This window comes from Homo sapiens, chromosome 7 (genome assembly GCF_000001405.40).
Source record: "Homo sapiens chromosome 7, GRCh38.p14 Primary Assembly".
NCBI classification, from domain to species: Eukaryota; Metazoa; Chordata; class Mammalia; order Primates; family Hominidae; genus Homo; species Homo sapiens.
The window spans coordinates 152,755,285-152,777,214 of record NC_000007.14 but is presented as its reverse complement, the minus strand read 5'-3'; the positions used below and the strand labels follow the sequence as shown (position 1 = coordinate 152,777,214).

General features: G+C 43.2%; 1 protein-coding gene and 1 pseudogene across 15 annotated transcripts in view, besides 5 other annotated features; both read right to left on the bottom strand.

Moving 5' to 3' along the window:
• The window catches only part of ACTR3B (actin related protein 3B), a 95,627-nt gene extending 78,164 nt beyond the window's left edge, over positions 1-17,463 (bottom strand). For 14 of the 15 annotated variants that reach the window (NR_146947.2, NR_146951.2, NR_146950.2 and 11 more), the window contains exon 1: positions 17,289-17,463. Coding sequence is in view for 3 of the 15 variants with exons in the window: in NM_020445.6 (NP_065178.1) it covers positions 17,289-17,332 (44 nt within the window). In the remaining 12 variants the exon portion in view is untranslated. Of the gene's footprint in view, positions 1-17,162 lie in introns of all 15 variants that reach the window. The other variant, NM_001350942.2, reaches the window with a different exon arrangement.
• Positions 16,612-16,661: an enhancer, noted in NCBI's record as "active region_26885". NCBI's record gives its function as "activates an Ori minimal core promoter by ATAC-STARR-seq in GM12878 lymphoblastoid cells {active_cell/tissue: GM12878}" and the evidence as "EXISTENCE:reporter gene assay evidence [ECO:0000049][PMID:35858748]".
• Positions 16,837-17,131: a silencer, noted in NCBI's record as "tiled region #2063; K562 Repressive non-DNase unmatched - State 1:Tss". NCBI's record gives its function as "represses a minimal TATA promoter and a strong SV40 promoter by Sharpr-MPRA in K562 cells {active_cell/tissue: K562}" and the evidence as "EXISTENCE:reporter gene assay evidence [ECO:0000049][PMID:27701403]".
• Positions 16,837-17,411: a biological region, named in NCBI's record as "Sharpr-MPRA regulatory region 2063".
• Positions 16,892-17,411: a silencer, noted in NCBI's record as "silent region_18837". NCBI's record gives its function as "represses an Ori minimal core promoter by ATAC-STARR-seq in GM12878 lymphoblastoid cells {active_cell/tissue: GM12878}" and the evidence as "EXISTENCE:reporter gene assay evidence [ECO:0000049][PMID:35858748]".
• Positions 17,662-17,821: an enhancer, noted in NCBI's record as "active region_26884". NCBI's record gives its function as "activates an Ori minimal core promoter by ATAC-STARR-seq in GM12878 lymphoblastoid cells {active_cell/tissue: GM12878}" and the evidence as "EXISTENCE:reporter gene assay evidence [ECO:0000049][PMID:35858748]".
• On the bottom strand, positions 19,264-19,553 carry RN7SL845P (RNA, 7SL, cytoplasmic 845, pseudogene; annotated as a pseudogene).

Here is a 21,930-nt window from a genome sequence, read left to right as displayed (position 1 = left end):
AAACTGGTGCTAATACTGAAGGTGGTGGTAAATTATACACAGGTGATAGTAAAGGGTTAAAGAGCCATTATAAAGGGTCACATTAGCTATCAAAAATTTTAATGCACATACCCTATTAGCCAAATAGTGCCTTTCTAGGAACCTACCCCACATAAGTATTTGTACATGTATGCAAAGATATACACACACAAAAATGTTCGGTGAAGCACTATAATAGCAAAACCACCACCAGAACCTGGAAACACGCAAAATAGAGGATATATTAAATAAATTATATTACATCCATTCAATAAAATTCTATACAACCATCAAAAATGAAGATGTATACTTACTGCCATAAACGGATGTATAATATAGCTTGAAAGTGCTTGAAAACAGTATATATTTATAATGTGAGGCCAGCTTAATAGGGACACAATGCTAGGTTCAAATCCCAGCACCAGCTATGTGATTTCAGGCAAGTAAATTAATCCCTTCATTCCTTGGTTTCTTCATCTCTAAAACCTGGGTAATAATCCCTACCTCAGTGTTAAATGTTGCCATTTTTGGATAATATTTCCTAATTCAAAAGAAGTAGGATTTCATGGTGCAGTGATTTATTTACTTATTACTGAATATTATTTTTTGTATACTAGTGATCTCTATTTCTCTCATGAATTGTCCTTGGATAACTTTTCTACTGGAGTTTTAGTGCTTCTTATCAATTTGTGTGAATGCTTATACACTGAGGATATTTGTGCTTGCTCATTACATTGCTAATTTTTCCCAGCTTGTTGTTTACCTTGTTATACATTTTCTGCAATATAAGTATTTAAACAGTCCAGGTGATCAAATCTACCAATTATTTTCCTGAATAATTTCCTTTATTATGTTTCTACTTTGAAAGTCCCTCTATATGCTAAAATGTCATATCATTTCTCTTCCACTTTTATATATATATATTTTATCCCAAATGGGAAGAACTACACTAATCCAATTTTCCCAAACATATGTATATAAGCATTCAAGACCATCAACTTTGCATTAAAAGCCCTTGGTTTTTTTAACACTACCTTCCCAAAGCTAGCATGATGGAGGTAGGCACTACTCTCAAAAATACATAAACTATACTTACAGATTGCCAGCCATGTTCTCAAACTCACACCACCTTCCATGAGTCCCTTAACTTGTCTGAGACCTTTTCTCATACAGAAATCAGGAAAGACAGAAGAGGAAGCTATGGAAGCAGACCCAATCAATAGCTGCATAAAGCACTACCAATAGTTACACGTCTGCCTTTTAAGCAAAGAATATGTTATAGCTCAAAATTCAAAGCAATATAAAAAGGTATCCCTTAAGAAGTCTTACACTACCTCATTTCTGCCTTCTATCCACCTTCTATTCCTGTGTATCTTTCCAATGCTTCTCTCTGTACATACAATATATTATTATTTGCCCCCAATTTTTTTTTTTTTTGAGACGGAGTTTCGCTCTTGTTGCCCGGGCTGGAGTGCAATGGCGTGATCTTGGCTCACTGCAACCTCCGCCTCCTGGGTTCAAGCGATTCTCCTGCCTCAGCCTCCTGAGTAGCTGGGACCACAGGCATGCACCACCACGCCCAGCTAATTTTGTATTTTTAGTAGAGACAGGGTTTCTCCATGTTGGTCAGGCTGCTCTCAAACTCCCGACCTTAGGTGATCTGCCCGCCTCGGCCTCCCAAAGTGCTGGGATTACAGGCTGAGCTATCACGCCCAGCCTGCCCCAAACATTTTAAACAGTCCTTGCACGAAGACTCTTCCACTTTACTTGTTAAATGCTCCTATCTTTTGACAGCAGTAATATGTAGACTTTTCAGTTCTGCAAAGTCATGAAAATTAACCTACTGTTGACTCAACATATTTATATATAATTGAAACTGCTCTTCCAACCATGTGTCTTAAGCAGAAGGTAATGACCCTAAGGTCAATTAATTTATGTTTGAAAGTACAAATGTTACATCTTAAAACAGTGTTTTACATCTTTTTTTTTTTTTTTTTTTTTTTTTTGAGACAGGGTTTCACTCTGTCACCCAGGCTGGAGTGCAGTGGTGCAATCATAGCTCATTGCAGCATTGACCTCCTGGCCTCAAGCAATCATCTGCCTCAACTTCCTGAGTGGCCAAGACTATAGGTGCACGACACCATGCCTGGCTGGTGTTCTCAAACTGTGTCCTGTGAGAAGTTCTTTTGATTGAGACCCCTGGTGAGGTCCAGTCTCAAACCCCAAACTTCAATCATAATAGCTCTACTCCCTCCTAAGATTTTTCACAGTTTAAATATGGCTTTGATAAAAGTAAAATTGTTCCCAGACCCTAACAATAGTTTTAAAGCAACGCACAATCTCCATATTGTGCAATGTAAATTACATGACCAATTTTTTAATGCTCCTTGGCTTGTTTCATAGAAAAGCATAGTCTCTATAGAACGAAGAATTCAATATATAAAGTTCAAACTTAAATATTTTATCCAAATCCAGTATCTTTGCCTGTCCTTAAATTTTCTATTTCTCCTTCTGAGTACTTTTTTTTTCTCTATGTTACTTCGTATATATAAGATCATAAAGCACACTGCCCTTTTGTGGATTCTGAACATTATTGTAAGGTAAACTCTGACTTCCAGTTAAAGTGTTTTAAAAGTGTTTTAACTGTTTAAATGATGGACTAAACATATTATCTAATTTCACTCTTTCCCAAAGCCCCACTAAAACCAAAGCAAAACAAAATTTTAAGCAATTATTTTAAAAATTAAAAAAAAAAAATGTAGGCCAGGTGCAGTGGCTCACACCTGTAATCCCAATACTTCGGGAGGCCGAGGCAGGCGGATCACCTGAGGTCGGGAGTTCGAGACCAGGCTGGCCAACAGGGAGAAACCCCATCTCTACTAAAAATACAAAACTAGTCGGGTGCGGTGGCGCATGCCTGTAATCCCAGCTACTCGGGAGGCTGAGACAGCAGAATCGCTTGAACCCAGGAGGCGGAGGTTGCAGTGAGTTGAGATCACGCCATTGCACTCCAGCCTGGGCAACAAGAGCAAAACTCCATCTCAAAAAACAACAACAAAAAAATTTTAAAGCAATATTAAACCATGAGGATGTGGAGAAAAGAAAAGGTGACAACAGCAAGATTTTGGCCCTGAAAAGCTGAGGACCCATCGTGCCTGACTTTAGAGATATAAGAAAGACAGCAGGGGCAAGAGCTGAGAACGAGCCCAACACACTCCCTAGATCCTTAAAGGCTCTGGAACTCGTTGGTGCCCAGGTACCTGTGGGACTGGAATAGGAGGGCTGAGGAGCAAGTGTGGACAGCCCAAAATACTCAGGCCATGGTGAGACCCTCTCCCGCCCCACACTGCTGGGCACTTGCTCCTCCCTGGCTTCAGCCTTCTCCAGAAGTTTTCTGGAATGTGTAAAGCAAAGGTTCTCTGCACCCACAGTTAACTGGCAGGGTCAGAGTACAATGATAAAATCAAACATTTTTAAATAAACCAAAAAAATAACAATTAAACCCTTGTTTCATTTAATTTTTTTTTGTTTTGCAATCAAATAATACTCACGCTTTCTTTTACTGTGCATTTGCTTGGCTTATTTTTGAACCATCCTTTTGCTTTTTTTTTAGAGACAGAGTCACTCTGTTGCCCAGGCTGGAGTGCAGTATCATGATCTCCACTCCCTGCAACTGCCACCTCCCGGGTTCAAGCGATTCTCCTGCCTCAGCCTCCTGAGTAGCTGGTATTACAGGCATCCACCACCACACCCAGCTAATTTTTGTATTTTTAGTAGAGACGGGGTTTCACCATGTTGGCCAGGCTGGTCTCGAACTCTGACCTCAAGTGATCCACCCACCTCGGCCTCTCAAAGTGCTGGGATTACAGGCGTGAGCCACTGCGTCTGGCCCCTTTTACTTTCTTTTTTGAATTTTTTTCCAACCTTTTACTTTCTGAATGAATGACTTATATGTAACTACCATAGTTTTTGTTTAGTACAGAAAGTGAATTTAGTTGAGTCCATGCCAGGTGAGGTCATCTCAGGTGCAACAGTCTTACTCTTGTTTTAACTTTTGTACTATTCCTTGTTGTTGCCTGTTTCCTTTTACTCTGTAATCTATTTTATTTGGTTGCTTTTCTTCCTCTCAATTTTACTTTTACATTTCAAAGGTATACAAAGTCTGTTTTTAGCATAATAGCCTTCTCAATTTATCAATTTCAAAAAAATGAAACAGTATTCCTTAACTACATATTCTGAAAGATACGACAATTAGCACAGTGGTATCTCCCACTCCCCAGCCCAAACCTAACCTAATCCCCCATGATATTGTTGACTTTCAGGAAATTTTGCTATGGCATGTTATCATTGTGTTGACATTTTTAAGGTTGAGTCGGTATTTATTCAATTGTTTTTGCCTTCTGGCTTATTTCTCCAAGAAAGATTATTCAATTATTGAAGCTGGTATCTTTATACTTCAACCTTTCTATTTCTGGAGCCCTCACTGATTCATCTTTCAGTTGGCTGGGTTATATCTGCAAGTAGATTTTTCAGTGAGGTTTATGAATGCCATTAATTCCTGAGCTTTTGCCCATTTGCAAATGTCTTATTATGCTGCATTTTAATGACATTTCAATCCAATCACATTGTCTTCCTTCTTGCCCTAACTCCCCTACTCTTGTTTTTTCCTTTTGAGCCAGAGTCTCGCTTTGTCACCCAGGCTGGAGTGCAGTGGCGCAGTCACAACTCACTGTAACCTTGAACTCTTAGATCCACACCATCCTCCCACCTCTGCCTCCCAGGTTACTGACACCACAGGCACGCATCACCACACCTGGCTTTTTCTTTTAGGGGGCAGGGGGACAGAGACAGGGTCTTGCTATGTTCCCCAGGCTGTTCTCCAACTCCTGGGCTCAAGCAATCCTCCTGCCTTGGCCTCCCAAAGTGCTGGGATTACAGGCATTAGCCACTGTGCCCAGTCCCCCTACATTCTTAAGCATTGCTTCATCATCTTTTGGCACATTACACTGTTGAAAACCCCAAGACTAAGGTGATTTTATTTTTTCCATTATAGGTGGCCTGTTGGCTTTTTTCCTGCTTAAATATGTGTAGTATTCTTTTATCTTTCAGGGGTTTGTTTTGTTTTGTTTTTGAGATGGAGTTTCACTCTCGTTGCCCAGGCTGAAGTGCAATGGCGTGATCTTGGCTCACCTCAACCTCTGCCTCCCAGGTTCAAGCGATTCTCCTGCCTCAGCTTCCCGAGTAGCTGGATTTACAGGCATGCACCACCACACCTGGCTAATTTTGTATTTTTAGTAGAGATGGGGTTTCTCCATGTTGGTCAGCTGGTCTGACCCCAGGTGATCTGCCCACCTCGGCTTCCCAAAGTGCTGGGATTATAGGCACGAGCCACCGTGCCCGGCCTATCTTTCAGGTTTTATAAATTAACCAGGATACGCTTCCATTTTAATGACTCTGAATTTTTTACAGTTCACAGTGAGTCCTTATATTAATATTATATGATCTTTCATTATATTCCAGGAAAACTTTGTCTTTTATTTATTAATGTTACATCTGTTCCACACACTCTGTTCTCTTCAGCAGGAACACCAGCTCTGACTACAGTAGATGCCTTCTGGATTCTTCTCCCACAGCTTCAATCTTCTCTCTAATCACCATGACCTCTTTGTTCTTTCCTACCGTGGTCTACGTAATTTCAGGAAGTTGATCCTCACATCAGTGATTTCAGAACCACTGGTACTACCTCATGTAACCTCCAACATGCTTTTAATTCCTGAAATGATTTTAGTTTTCTATTTCTTTCCTTATGGATGTCAGCTGACCTCCATGTCCTCCTTTTAGCTTTCTTTAATCTTTTAAAATTACTTCTTTGTTCTTTTGTTTTATTGAGCTCATGTTGTCTAAATTTAAGAGCAAAGTGGCTTTATCTAAAATTCCATTCTAGCCAGGCACAGTGGCTCACACCAGTAATCCCAGCACTTTGGGAGGCTGAGGCAGGCAGATCACCTGAAGTAAGACCAGCCTGGCCAACATGGTGAAACCCCATCTCTACTAAAAATACAAAAATTAGCCAGGCATGGTAGCAGGCACCTGTAATCCTAGCTACTCGGGAGGCTGAGGCAGGAGAATGGCTTAAACCCAGGAGGCAGAGGTTGCAGTAAGCCGAGATCAAGCCACTGCACTCCAGCCTGGGTGTCAGAGCGAGACTCTGTCTCAAAAAATGAAAAAAAAATAAAATTCCATTCTAATTACTGAAGTACTCTTTCCAAAGTATACTTTTTCATCTATTTTTGCTTGTTATGTTTCCTTCCTTATTTTCTGTGCATAGTCCCATGATGGGTCCTTTCTGCTTCACACTCAGCTTTGAATGGGTGCAGGTCTCCCTGGACCTGCTTGCTCAACAACAACTCGTTGCCATGCTTACAATGACACTGAATACAATGTCTTGAAATCTCTGTGTAGTCCTCTGGTTGTTTAGAAGAATTGGCTGAACAGTGAGCAATCAGAGCCTGAACTTGGGTATACTTTCCCACTAATTCTACTAAATCCTTTGTTCTGGGCGTATATCTAATTCCAAAGTTCATTGTGGAGGACAGGCGGGTTTAAGGGGAAATGCCTTATCTTAGATATTAGCAATTCCTGATCAGATATAAGCTGGTCATCCTCACAGATTTTCTCCTTTAGTCAAACAAAGTCAAAGAACATAATGACACCATTACTACATGATCCCTCTTTCAGCCCAGCATGCCCTGCTATATTTTAGGATGGAAAGGAGCTGCTGCCAGAATATGCTTCTTTGGCAATGGTCTATTCATCCATCAGCTCCTAGCTCTGCTGTAACGACTGTGAGTAGTACCTTCAGAAACCTATGCTTAGACACCTGCAACCAGCCAGAGATGGGCGGGGATGCCACATCTCTGTATCCTCCTGCAAATGGATCCACACTTCACTGGAAATTTCATAAAATGTGATATGAATTTTAGCTGTTTTCTTCTCTATTTTTGGTTAGTTTTGTTCATTTTTAGGAGGTTCCAGGAAGTAGTGTTACATGAATGTATATTTATAGCACCATATGCCCAATAAACTATTAAAGAATCTTTTAGTATGAAAAGGATATAAGACATATGGTAAAATCAATGCTACAGAGAACTTTTCCTAAATGAAGCTTTTATGGCAGTTGTAAGGGAAAGAGTATAGTAATTTATGGCTCTGTCCTCTATCAATACAGGTCCAATGCAACATGAAAAGAATGCACATAAAATATAATAAATTTGTTGACTACTAATAATTTTTTTAATTAGAAGTAAAAGGCTTTTTTTTTTTTTTTACAAATCAGATGCTGAAACGGAGAAAGGGAGAGAGGAAGAAGAGATGCAAGCTAATTTCATAATTACTCATAGTTGGGAGCCAACAGAAAACAGCCACAAATAAAAGGACTATATATAATGATAACAATTAGACAAAAATACAGTCTGCCCTAAAGTGCACCAAAAAAGATATTAATAAAATAAAATGGACTACATGGCAAAAGATGTTTAAATACATATATATGTAAATATTGCAAAACTGAGGCCAAATATATCAATCATATCAATACATATAAATATGCTTAAATCACCTATCTATGAGTATAAATGAGCTTAAGTCATCCAACAAAAGGCAACATTTTCATATTGACTAAAAAGCAAAACAATATTTTGGGTACAGACAATTCAGAAAGAATAATAAAAGGATGGAGAAATATATATATATCTATATCAGACAAACACAAGGAGAAGCAAGCAGGGATCACACATCTTGATATCTGACAAAGTACAACTCGGCTGAGAAAACAATTAGAAGGCTACTTGATATGCTAAATCAACAACTCTAGTGAAGAGACAAGTTATTTCTATCTAGATAACCAATATGGCAGCAACAACTTTCATAAAGCAGAACCCACAGAAAATGCGAGGAGACCTTAATAGGTTACTAACAATAGGAGGCCTTAGTATGCCATTCTCAGTCCATGACAGACTAGGTACACACACACACAAAAATGTGAGCCCAGACATGGTGGCTCACCCCTGTAATCCCAGCACTTTAGGAGGCAGAGGCGGGTGGATCACCTGAGGTCAGGAGTTCGAGACCAGCCTAGCCAACATGGAGAAACCCCGTCTCTACTAAAAACACAAAAATTAGCCAGGCATGGTGGCGGGTGCCTATAATCCCAGCTCCTCGGGAGGCTGAGGCAAAGAACTGCCTGAACCCAGGAGGTGGAGGTTGCAGTGAGCCGACATCACGCCACTGCACTCCAGCCTGTACGACAGAAGGAGACTCGGTCTCAATTAAAAAAAAAAATTGGAAGCCCTAAATAACATAATTAATAAGGTAGTTCATATAGACACATTAAACTCAGAACTTATAAAGATTGTATCTCCTAGCCAGGCGCGGTGGCTCATGCCTGTAATCCCAGCACTTTGAGGGGCCAAGGTGGGTGGCTCACCTGAGGTCAGGGGTTCGAGACCAGCCTGGCCAACATGGTGGAACCCCGTCTCTACTAAATATAAAAAATTAGCTGGGCGTGATGGCGGGCGCCTGTAATTGCAGCTACTTGAGAGGCTGAGGCAGGAGAATTGCTTGAATCCAGGAGGTGGAGGTTGCAGTGAGCCGAGATCGCTCCATTGCACTCCAGCCTGGGCAACAAGAGTGAAACTCTGACTCAAAAAAATGAATACAAAGAACATTCGCAAACCCTCTTAGGCCACAATAAGTGAAAACAAACAAACAAACAAACAAACACCAGAACTATCCCACTAAAATCAGGAATAAAATAATAATGCCCACTAACTCCACTCTGATTTAAATTAACATTGCTTTGGAGGTAATGGCCTCTGCACTGTGTCAATAAAAAAGCAGTTAAGAGTCCCTAAAAATGGAAAGGAAGAGGTAAAACAATCTCTTTTGCCAATAACAGGTTTTGGTTTTTATTTTTGAGACAGCGTCTGGCTCTGTTGCCCAGGCTGGAGTACAGTGGCTCAATCTCAGCTCACTGCAACCTCCGCCTCCCAGGTTCAAACGAGTCTCCTGCCTCAACCTCCCATGTAGCTGGGATTACAGGCGTGTGCCACCACGCCCAGCTAATTTTTTTGTATTTTTAGAAGAGACAGGGTTTTGCCATGTTGGCCAAGCTGGTCTCAAATTCCTGGCCTCAAGTGATCTGCCTGCTTCGGCCTCGCAAAGTGCTTGCAATTACAGGTGTGAGCCACTGCGCCAGGCCCAATGACAAGTTTTTATATCTGAAAATCCCTAGGGATCAAGGGAAAAATTTATACAAATAATATGAGCATTCTGTAAAGCAGCACGTTATAAAATGAGTAACTACCATGAAAAACCACCATGTAATCTAGGAATGAAAAAACTAACAATCTTCATATATTCAAGAAAAACAAGATAAAATGGAAGAGAAGGCACCATTTATGATAGCAAAAAAAAATCAAATACATAAAGTTAACAAGAAATCTACCTGCAGAAACACCACAATATTCCTAAAAGACACAAAATAGACTTGAACTAATGGAGAGATAAACCATGTTCTTTGATGGGAAGACTCAGTATTATACAGATAATGATGCTCATTAAATTAATTTTTAAGTTTAATAAAATCCCAATAAAAATGCCATCAGGCTTTCTCTCCCAGAACTAGAGAAACTGATTACAAAGATCACTTGGAGGAACAACAATCGAAAATACATGGGAAAGCCCTAAAAAGGAATTAGATGGGCAGGGGAAGCCGGCACCATTAGAAATGAAATCATTCTAAAGAGCCTAATTAAAACTGTGTGGTGCTGCTATTATGAACAGACCAATAGACTAACTCAACACAATACAAAATCCAGAAAGAAACACAATTGCATAGACAAATGCAGCATATGATAAAGGCAGCATCTCCAGTCATTGGGTTTTTTCCATAAATTATGTTGAGATAAACAGGACAGCCATAGCCACACACACACAAAAGTGGATCCAACTGGGTCCATTCTTCATACCTTATCTCAGGATAAATTCCAAATGAATTAGAGATTTAAATGAAAAAAATGAAACCATTAAAAAAAAAAAAAAAACCTACCAGCTGGGCACAGTGGCTCACATCTATAATCCCAGCACTTTGGGAGGCCGAGGCAGGTGGATCACCTGAGGTCAGGAGTTTGAGATCAGCCTGACCAATATGGTAAAACCCCCTTCTCTACTAAAAATACAAAAATTAGCCCGATGTGGTGGCATGCACCTGTAGTCCCAGCTACTCGGGAGGCTGCAGCAGGAGAATCGCTTGAACCCAGGAGGTGGAGGTTGCACTGAGTGGAGACTGTGCCGCCGCACTCTAGCATGGGCAACAGAGTGAGACTCTGTCTCAAAAAAACAGAAAAGAAAAAGAAGAAAAGAAACCACCATGTAATCTGGGAATGAAAAAAACCTTTCTTAACTATGACTCAAAATCTAGAAACAATAAAGAAAAGATGAATAAATCCGATTGCCTAAAGAAAACAAACTTTGCATGGTAAAAGACAAATGATAAATAGGGGAAATATATTTGCAACGTATATCATTAAGGGTTAATATTCTCTATGTGCAGAAGAAAGTTAATGGGCCTGAGACTGCTGTCTCTTAGAAAGTCCTGCTTGGAGGAATGGCCTTTAATTGGTATCTAGGATCTTGGAGTTCAGGCGTTCCCACCATTCCCTAAATGCTAAAAGTAGTTCACTGCTCCTAGAGTGGCAAACAACGTGGTTTATGCCAATGCCTTGCTTTCCTTCTGGGACTCTGGAATTCCGGCACGTGCTATGCACAGGGTGCCTGCATGACAAGTCCCCAGTGAAAACCTTGGGCCCTGTGTCTCTGAGGAGCTTCCCTGGTACGGAGCATTGCACACGTGTTGTCACAGCCTGATGCTGGAGGAATTAACTGCATCCTGCACGGCTGCACTGGGTGAGGACTCGGGAAGCTTGCCCCGGTTTCCTCTAGGCTCCACCCCACATCTTTTCCCTTGGCTGTTTTTGCTTTGTACATTTTCACCGTAGTCCTGATTCCTCCTAGCAAGTCACTGGAACTGGGAGTGGTCTGCGGAACCCCTGAACAGACCTTAATACATGAAGAGCTTCTAAAAATGAAGAAGCAAAAGACCAAAACCCCAGAGAAAAGTTAGAGAAATGAAGAGACCGAAAAAAATAAATGCGAAGATTATCATAATCATGAAAGTGGGTTGTTAAAATATGAAGTTCAGCCTTCTCTCGTGCTCACAATCTCACCCACTCTTGCCCTTCCTTCTTCCGCCATGGGATGACACAGCACGCAGGGCCTCATTAGATGCTGGCACCATGCTCTAAGACTCTGCAGCCTCCAGAACTGTGAGCCAAATAAACTTTTTTTTTTCTTTTTTTAAGGTGTGCACTTTTACTGAACTGGTCTCAAGTCAGTGTACAGGTATGCCCTGGATGCCTCCACACTTCCACCCACTCCCAGGGAGACCAAAAGCCTTCATACATCTCAAGGTAGGGACAAAAATGGGGACCATGATAGCTGATTATTCAAAATAAAACAAAAAGTATTAAGGTGAAGATTTTTTTAAATGTTGCATTACATAATTTACATGAAAGCAATCCTGTAACCTCCCCTTTGTGGACTCAGGAGAGAACTGGGCCGTTCTCCTGAGAGAAGTGGGGTGGCTTTTGGGAGGGCAAGGGACTTCCTGTAACAATGCATCTCACAATATGTGGAATGACTATTTAAAAAAAAAAAAAAAAAGCCAGGCGCAGTGGCTCATGGCTGTAATCTCAGCACTTTGGGAGGCCCAGGCAGGCAGATCACCTGAGGTCAGGAGTTCAAGACTGGCCTGACCAACATGGAGAAACCCCGTCTCTATTAAAAATACAAAATTAGCCGGGCATAGTGGCGCATGCCTGTAATCCCAGCTACTTGGGAGGCTGAGGCAGGAGAATCACTTGAACCCGGGAGGCGGAGGTTGTGGTGAGCCAAGATCGCGCCATTCTACTCCAGCCTGAACAATGAAAGCAAAACTCTGTCTCCGGAAAAAAAAAAAAAAAAAAAAAAGGGCCAGGGTAAGACCCAGTCTCAAAACAAAAATAAAAATAAATAAGTAAAATAAAGAACAATGTACAATCAAGGTCCTCGGCCACACTGTAGAACTTTGGAGGATGCTCACTCCAACTAACTGCTGTCACCTTCACCATTCTATTCTTTTCTTTATAAATTACCCGGTGTGTGGTATTCTGTTACAGCAACACAAAACAAAGACATTAAGATATCATTTATTCTAGGTTGGTAATTTTACAAATTGGCAATAGGCTCTATTGGTGAGTCTGTAAGACACAGGCATCCTCACACATTACTGGTGAGAATGCACACTAATGAGTGTAATTTGACACTGCCTAGCAAAATTACATATGCATTTGCCCTTTGACCCAGAAATCCCATTTCTAAAAATCTAAGCCACAGATACTCAGGCAAAAAATACAAAAAGATATCCTTGCTTTATTTTTTCTTTTTTTTTTTTTTTGAGATGGAGTCTCGCTGTTGCCAGGCTGGAGTGCAGTGGCGCGATCTCAGCTCACTGCAACCTCCGCCTCCTGGTTCAAGCGATCCTCCTGCCTCAGCCTCCTGAGTAGCTAGGACTACTAAAATTAGCCCACCAGTGTGCCCGGCTAATTTTTTTGTATTTCTTTTTTTTTTTAGTAGAGACGGGGTTTCACCGTGTTAGCCAGGATGGTCTCGATCTCCTGACCACGGGTCGTGATCCACATCCTCGGCCTCCCAAAGTGCTGGGACTACAGGTGTGAGCCACTGCGCCTGGCCAGAATGCTCAAAAAATGAAGACATGTCTAAAGAACATGGAAGGCCAGGTGCAGTGCCTCACTCCTGTAATCCCAACACCTTGGGAGGCAGAGGTGGGCAGATCACCTGAGGTTAGGAGTTCAAGACCAGCCTGGCCAACATGACAAAACCCCATCTCTACTAAAAATACAAAAAAACAGCCATGCGTGGTGGTGTACACCTATAATCCCAGCTACTCAGGAGGCTGGGGCAGGAGAATCGCTTGAACCCGGGAGGCAGAGGTTGTAGTGAGCTGAAGTCACACCACTGCACTTCAGCCTGGGCAACACAGCAAGACTCCGTCTCAAAAAATAAATAAATAAAAAATAAAGAACATGGGAGTCAGCCTGAATGAGCTTCACTTGGCAAAATCTGGGACAATTTAAGCAATAGATAACCCACTGACAACAATGAGGACGGCATAATGGATTATCATTCTTTGAACAGAACGACAACTCATACAGACAATAAACAAATGAGGCCTATGGATAAGTTCTTCCTTAAAATAAAATGTTAACTAATAAATGGAGACAGAATAATAGAGTTCAAAAATCACCATTTTGCAACCATCACCATAATTAGTAATTCAGGCAAGAATCACCAATGGGCCAGGCACAGTGGCTCACGCCTGTAATCACAGCACTTTGGGAGGCCAAGGCGGGTGGATTGCTTGAGATCAGGATTCAAGACCAGCTTGGGCAACATGATGAAATCCCGTCTCTACCAAAAATACAAAAAGTTAGCCGGGCATGGTGGCTCATGCCTGTAATCCCAGCTACCCATGAGGCTGAAGCAGGAGAATTCCCTGAACCTGGGAGACAGAGGTTGCAGTGAGCAGAGATTGTGCCACTGCACTCCAGCCTAGGAAACAGAACAAGATTCTGTCAAAAAAAAAGAAAAAAACAAGAGTCACCAATGGATACTTAAACTAATGGATGAAAGTTTAAGAATAGAGTACTTACATAAAATATTCCCCCACAAATGACTTTTTTTTTTTTTTTTTTTTTTTTTTTTTTGAGATGGAGTCTCGCTCTGTCACCAGGCTGGAGTGCAGTGGCCCGATCTCGGCTCACTGCAACTTCCGCCTCTCGGATTCAAGTGATTCTCCTGAGCAGCCTCCAAAGCAGCTGGGACTACAGGCACGCACCACCACACCCAGCTAATTTTTGTATTTTTAGTAGAGACGGGGTTTCACCATGTTGGCCAGGTTGGTCTCGAACTCCTGCCCTCAGGTGATCCGCCCGCCTCGGCCTCCCAAAGTGCTGGGATTACAGGCATGAGCCACCGCGCCCAGCCAAATGACTTATTAATTACAAAGAAAAATAGTAACTGAACAGTGAAGAAACCTCGTGGACATCACCCTCTCCAAATGATCCAAGTGAACTTCATCAAGACTGAGGCGAGTCCCTATCTTAAGCCTTTCGATGGGATGCACTAAGAAGGATCAACAGGACTTCTGTGGTAGTCCTGACAAATATGCATATCCTGTATCTATCACAGAGAAACACTAGGTAACAACTGGCTGTCAAAAATGCCAACATCTTGAAAGACAAAAAAAGGTTAAGAAATTATTCCAGATTAAATTAGACTTAAAAGACATGACACCCACCAGATGCAATGTATGCCGCTGATGGGGAGGTCTTTCATGGGTGACATTCCATAAAAGACATGAATCCATACTGTATATAGGATACTACTGTATGTATGTTAAATTTTCTGATTTTGATGATTGGAATGTGATTCTAGAAGGGAAAATGTGTCCTCAGAAAGTACGCATTCAAGTATTTTGATATAAAAGGGTATGATCTCTGCAACTTACTCTCAAACAGTGCAGGAAAGTAATAATAATATGTATGGACATACAGAGAGTGACAAAGCAAATGTTAACAGTTGGTAAAACTGGAAGAAGAGTATACAGTAGTTTTTTGTTCTCTTCCAGCTTTCAGTAGATTTGAAATTATTTCAAAAAAAGTTGAAAAATGCAAAAGACTTCATTTGAAAAGTTTGGCTCAGAGAAGTGAGACCGGAGTTGTGAAATATTCTCTGAAAACTATGCAGCCTAGTCATCCCTTTAAATAGATGAAGCTTTATTTTTGGACTCAGCAGATCCCTTTGTCCATATTATCCTGGCCTCCAGCACATCACTGCTTACTCAGGTAGTCTCGGGGTTTACCTGAGGAGGATTCAAGGATACTGGGATGAAATTTATTTGTAAAAAATACTGTTTATCACACTGTCCAATAAATCATTAGTGCCCACTATGTATAGCTCAATGCTTTTACAATTTAGTACTACAAAAAAAGGCTTTTTTCACCCAAGAAACAGGTATTTCTCTTGATTTCTGATGACAGGAATTACATAACCATGACTCTTATGATGTTGTCAGACAGGAAGACTAAGGTCGAATGTGCGGACCAACTTCAGCAGCCACTGGGCTAAAGCTCAGGGTGACTTCCTAGGTCCGTTCTTTTCCTTTGGCTTGGTTATTTTTATCTGAATTTTACCACTTTTTGTCCTATTTTGAGGCAAAACTAAATCCAAAAATCATTTTGGCTCTCTGGGAAATGTAAGAACTACTGATGTGCTCAAGTTGGTAAATTCGGGCTCTTTCAGGCTCCTTCTGGCCATACACTCGATATGGGGAATTCATATGGAGATTCCCTGCCACCGTTTCTAAGTCTTGACACCAACTTCTGAAGCATGACTTTGGGCCACAAAACAATGATCTATAGAAGTTGAATCTCCAAGTTAGCCAAGTTACATTAATCACTTACCTCAAAAGGTCAAAACTGAGCACGACATTTTAGGTATTTATAGCAAGAAAGATGAGTAAGGTCCACGACTTACTAATCTTAAAGGTATGACAACTCTGTGAGCATTATTTTATTGCTACTACCAAGAATTCCTTTATATTTTAATAGTTCTGCAAGACTAAAACTACAAAGCAAAAATCTCACATGCAAATGTGGAAATGAAAAATACTTTCACCCACTGGTTTCACTCTTGACACAACCAGACCTGAGGGGACCTGAGGTGAACCCATTGGGGGAGGGCATGAGTTAAGGGTGTCAATAATTGAGGGAGGGGAGCTGTAGTATCGACAACGCTGATTTTGGCTTGTGTTTTAGGTAGAAAAGCAAGTTCTAAAATAAAGAGCTACAAAGCTTGATATGACGTGTATTTCAAAAAGAATTCACACAAGCAAAGAGGATTTTTCCAGTCCACAACCACTTCTGGTCGCTTCAGCAGCAAAAGGAAGGAACTAACAGTAGGAGATGGACTGTAGCAAACTAAAGAAGGCACCCCCACAAGGTTGTCAAGGAAACCAAACCAAGTGCATTTTTCTATAGAAAAGAATCAAGGGTAAGGTGAACATGCCATGTTACATTTTGTGGCAAAAATGATTAAAATCCCTTCTTGAAAAAAATCGCTAAGAGACCAAATTTACTTCCAGGCTATTTTACTAAGCACTACACCCATAACGCAGGCAGGCAAGCTTGTATTCCCAAACTACCAGCTACATGGATTCAGCAATCACCTTACTACAACCAGCTAACTTGGGTCACCGATACTTCAGGGCATTTCCTAAGATCTCTTTTTAATAGCTTAACGGCAACGAAAGAAGTGGTCACACTCAAAAAGTTAAAAACAAAAACCTCTACCACAATTCCACAAACATGCTCTCCCAAATTTAGGGTATTTTTCAAAATGGAGTCTTTTTAAACACATCATTTTTCAGCGAAAAGGCAAATCTATGCAAACCAAAGGGACAGCTTGGCCTGAGTGTGCCATTTCATACTGGAAAAGCGCAGGGAGGGCAGTAAAAATGGTATCAAGTTGGGAGATCGATGCTATTCTCTCCACAAGTAGGTGGTAAAGAATCCTCAGCCAGGAGGAATGACACGCACACGCGGGGACAGAACGAGGGCCAGTGCTGAGAACGCTGGAAGGCAGGGACACCGTTCACTAGGAGATGAGTGACGTTAAAGGATCTGCAGTGATGATCTGTGCCTCACGCTGGCGAATATTCCTAGGAGGGGAGATCCCGCGCTCCCGGTGTCCCTCAGGGTGTCCACCCCGGCGACGGCCGGAGCCGGGCTGCGGGTCCAGGGGCCCGGCCACGTGGGCGGGGGAGGCGAGGAGCGCCGGGCTCGCTCAGAGTGGGCACCGCGTCCCTACCCTCCGTGCTTTTCCTCTTGTGGCCCTTCCCGGCAGGGAAGAGGGGGTTTTACGACGTCAAGGCAAGGCTTGGAGGGAAGCGGCGGCCGGCGCCCCACCTGCCCAGGTGATCGCGGGGCTCAAGCCCGGGGCGACGGACGCAGCTCGACCTCCAGGCGAGGTGGACGCCAGGGGCCGGGAGCGGGGCCGCGGAGGAGCGGGGGTGGGCGCCGAGCTGCTCTTACCCGGTGCCACAGTCCACCACGCAGGGAGGCAGGGAGCCTGCCATGCTCGGGACGCGCGGCGCTCGGCCCCGCCGGCAGCCCGAGAGCGCCCCGTCGCCGTCCGCTCCGCCGCCCGCTAGCCCCGCGCGCAGCGTCTCCCGCGAGCCGCCGCAGCGCCGCTGCCGGGAGCCCGGATGCTCGGCGGCCGACACGTGACGTCACTCCCCGGTCGGCCAATCAGAACGCGCGCACGCCCCGCCTCCCCCAACACCCCCACCCCCACTCCGGCGCGCCATCTTTAGTGCTGGCAGCGAGGCTTCTTGGCCCCATACGTCCAACCTTGCTGCTGGAGAGATTGGGGTTTATTTTTAACTGACTTACATGAACGTGACCCCATTTCCGAGGCCTGGCGCCTTTCTCCTCCTGTAAGTCTTCGCTCGAATGTCACCTTGCGAGGGAAGTTGTTCCTGATCACCCTGACTATGTCCCCTACCGGTACTGTATCCTCTGTCTCAACAATCTGTTGGTTTCATTCCTAACCCTTAAAGCAAAGTGTTTATATTTTTATATTTATGTATTTGTTGTCTGCCTCCCCTACTGGACTATCAAATCTTCTAGGATAGGGCTTGAGTCTGTCTTAATCACTATTGATGAGCAGCAGGTGCTTAGCACAGTATTTGGTGTACCTGTGGAAGTGCCCAAATGTTTGTTGAATGACTGAGTAACCTTCCCCATATAATAAAAAAAAAAAAAAAAATTAGTTGGAATTGGCCGGGCGCGGTGGCTCACGCCTGTAATCCCAGCACTTTGGGAGGCTGAGGGTGGATCACAAGGTCAGGAGTTCCAGACCAGCCTGGCCAACATGGTGAAACCCCTTCTCTACTGAAAATACAAAAATTAGCCGGGCGTGGTGGCGGGTGCCTGTAATCCCAGCTGCTCCGGAGGCTGAGGCAGGAGAATCGCTTGAACCTGGGAGGCGGAGGTTGCAGTGAGCCAAGATCGCGCCATTGCACTCCAGCCTGGACAACAGGGCGAGAGTCTGTCTCAAAAAAACAACAAAAAAAATTAGTTGGAATTATTATACCTAACACGGCCTAAATTTTTCTAAGAAGAAAAATCTGCAAAACAAATGCTTGGCCAGCCTTAAGGAATGAATGGCCTTAGACTGAGTAAACCACACCAAGATCACTCCTGGAAAATGTTTTCAAGTGTCGAAGATGGGATGATCGCCCAAAAGTTCTTACTGAAACCAAAGAAGGCAAACACCACCTACTATATTATAAAGGTACTGAGAGTCCCACTTGCCACTTGCTTCCTGCTTCTTGCCCGATCGTAAATTCTTGATACTAATTTTTTAGGAGCTTTCTGGAAACATGTATTTTTTTGTTTTGTTTTGTTTTTTGAGATGAGTCTCACTCTGTCGCCCAGGCTGGAGTGCAGTGGCGCAATCTCGGCTCACTGCAACTCCGCCTCCCAGGTTCAAGCAATTCTCCTGCCTCAGCCTCCCAAGTAGCTGGGATTACAGGCACCCACTACCATGCCCGGTTAATTTTTTGTATTTTTAGTAGAGACAGGGTTTCATCATGCTGGCCAGACTGGTCTTGAGCTCCTGACCTCGTGATCTGCCTGCCTCAGCCTCCCAAAGTACTGGGATTACAGGCATGAGCCACCACGCCCAGCCAAGACATGTTGTTTTTACAGGTACTTAAAACATTGTGTTTTTTACCTAGAAGTAATAGATACGTTGACCACTCCTAGGTAACCCATCATCATTTCTTTTTTTTAACTCATAAGTACCCATTAAGGCCCAGACCTAGAGAATGTTCAGGAGAACTGAAGAGAGAAGCAAATGGGAGGAAAATAAAAAGGAGTAAGTGTGGAGGAATCCCAGTTTAGAAGCCCAAGGCTGGGGTTAAAGATTGGCTGGCTTGCTTTGTGTTTTGCCAAAGCCCTGCCTTGGTCCCTTTTCTTTTTCTTTTCTTATTGCTTGTTTCTTAGAGACAGGGTCTCACTATGTTGCCCAGGCTGGAGGGCAGCGACTATTCACAGGCATGGTCCCACTACTGATCTGCATGAGAGTTCTGATCGGCTCCATCTCTGACCTGGGCCAGTTCACCCTTCCTTAGGCAACCTGGTGGTTCCCCGCTCCTGGGAGGGTGCCATATTGATGCCAAACTTAGTGCAGATCCATCATTCTGGGTGGCACAGAACTCCTGGGCTCAAGGGACCCTTCCACCTCAGCCTCCCGAGTATCTGGGACTACAGGCAAGTACAACTGCTCCCAGCCCAGCTCCCATTTTTTTCACGGCCCTAGCCTAAACATAGATTAATTCTAAATTACAGACTGTTGACACTGCCATGTCTTTTATTTTATTCACTTAACAAACATATATCAAGCGCCTACTGTGAGTCAGGCTTTGTGTTAGACTGAGCATGCAGCAGTAAACAGGATGTTCAGAGTATCTGCCCACAAGAGTCCAGTGGGAGATAGCAACAGTAAACAGGCAATTACAATACAGTGTAGTCAATGCTAAGACAGGGCAAGTCCAGGGTGCCCAGAAAGCCATAGAGGGGCTGACTTGGGAATCAGTAGAAACTTCTCAAAGCAATGATATTGAAGCTGAAACCCAGAAGGTGGGCAGAGTAGCTAGGTGGAGGAGACTGTAGGGTGGAAGAGTGTTTCTGGGATGGAAAACATGCACAAAGCCCAGGAAGAAAGACCTCAAGGCTTGTATAGGACCCAGCTACTACACCAGGGAAGAAGTCTTTACAGGAATTTGGGACTGGCTAGTAATAAAGGGTGTGCGATTTCAGGGAGCATCTTCTCTGCATAGGACTCATTGGGATTGATGGCCATGGTCAGCAGCTGGTAGAAAACAAAAGATTTCCTGACCTCAGTGATTTCCTCTAGATACCACTAACCCTTGATATATCAAAGGTGTTTTGTAGGCAGATAACAGAAAACCTAACTAAAAGTGGCACAAGGAAAGAGCAAATTTGTTATCTCGCACAATAGGAAATCCAGTGACTCCAGGATAATTTGACCATTCGATGGCATCATCATGGGCCTGTACGTTCAGCTCTGCCAGGGCCCTGCGTGTTGTCGTTTGTCCTCAGCTTATCCCATGCAGTGTTGAGACGGCTGCAGCCCCTCCATGCACCAAAATCATGATGGACAAAAACAGTGGAAGAAATGCCCCATCCTGATGCCCTTTCTCAAAGGCAGTGGGAGGAAATGTTTCCGGAAGTTCCCAGCTGCTTCTCTTCTTGTGTCATTAATCAGCTCTTTTTCTATTCTTTTTCTGGGGTGGCCATGACAAAGTAGAACAAACTGGGTGGCTTCAACAAGAGATATTTATGCTCTCACAGTTCTGGAGGCCAGAAGGCCAAATGCAGGTGTCAGCAAAGCCATGTTCTCTCGAAGACTCTAGGGGAGGATCTGTTCCATACCCAGCTTCTGATGGCTGCTGGCAACCCTTGGCATTCCTTGGCTTGTAGGTGCATCACTCCAATCTCTGCCTCCATCATCACGTAGCATTCTCCCTGTGTCTGCATCTTCACATGGCATTCTCCTTATAAGGACGCCAGTCATATTGGATTAGTGCCCACCCTAATGACCTCATCTCAACTTAATTACATTTGCAAATATCCCGTTTCCAAATATCACATTCACCAGAGCCAAAGGTTAGGATTTCAGCATGTTTCTGTAGAGACACAGTTCAATCCATAATTCCAACCTGTGCCAAAAGCAGTCACTGGATGGTTTATTCATATTCATACATACATAGCATTGCCAGCATCGAATGGTGTTTATTCCAAGTTCATTTGAGAGTGGTGCTGGGATGAGGCAAGACTCAGAATAGTAATTATGAAATAGTCACACCTGATATACTGAACTGACTTAGATTATTGAAGAAGACCCCCTTGGGCTGGAGAGGGGCCTCATCTCCTCTGAAATATATGGCTGCTAATACCTGACTGAAATTGGGTTTGATCAACAAGAAGAGGAATGGCCATTGTGTGAAGACACAGCACTGTCTTGTGAGAACACAAGAAGGTGGCTGTCTGCGAGCCAAGAGGAGAAGCCTCACCAGAACCCAACTCTGCTGGCACCCCGATCTCAGACTTCTAGCCTCCAGAACTGAAAAAAATAAATTTCTGTTGTTTAAGCCACCCCGTCAATGGTATTTTGTCATGTCAGCCTGAACAGTCTAAGACAATTCTCTGTGTATTCTTCTGTGTTATTCTTCTTAGACTGTTAACTCCTATACATCAGAAACTGATTGCATCCATTTTGACAGTGCCTAGGGCAAAACACCCACAGAGGTATAAACCTCATACTCTATAAGAAGCACTTCGTGGGGCGTGGTGGCTCACACCTGTAATCTCAGCACTTTGGGAGGCCGAGGCGGGTGGATCACCTAAGGTCGGGAGATCAAGACCATCCTGGCTAACATGGCGAAACCCCGTCTCTACTAAAAATACAAAATTAGCCGAGCATGGTGGCACATGCCACCAGCTACTCAGGAGGCCAAGGCAGGAGAATCACTTGAACTCGGCAGGCGGAGGTTGCAGTGAGCTGAGATCGCGCCATTGCACTCCAGCCTCGGCAACAAGAGCAAAACTCCGTCTCAAAAAAATAAAGCACTTCAAGTACTATCTT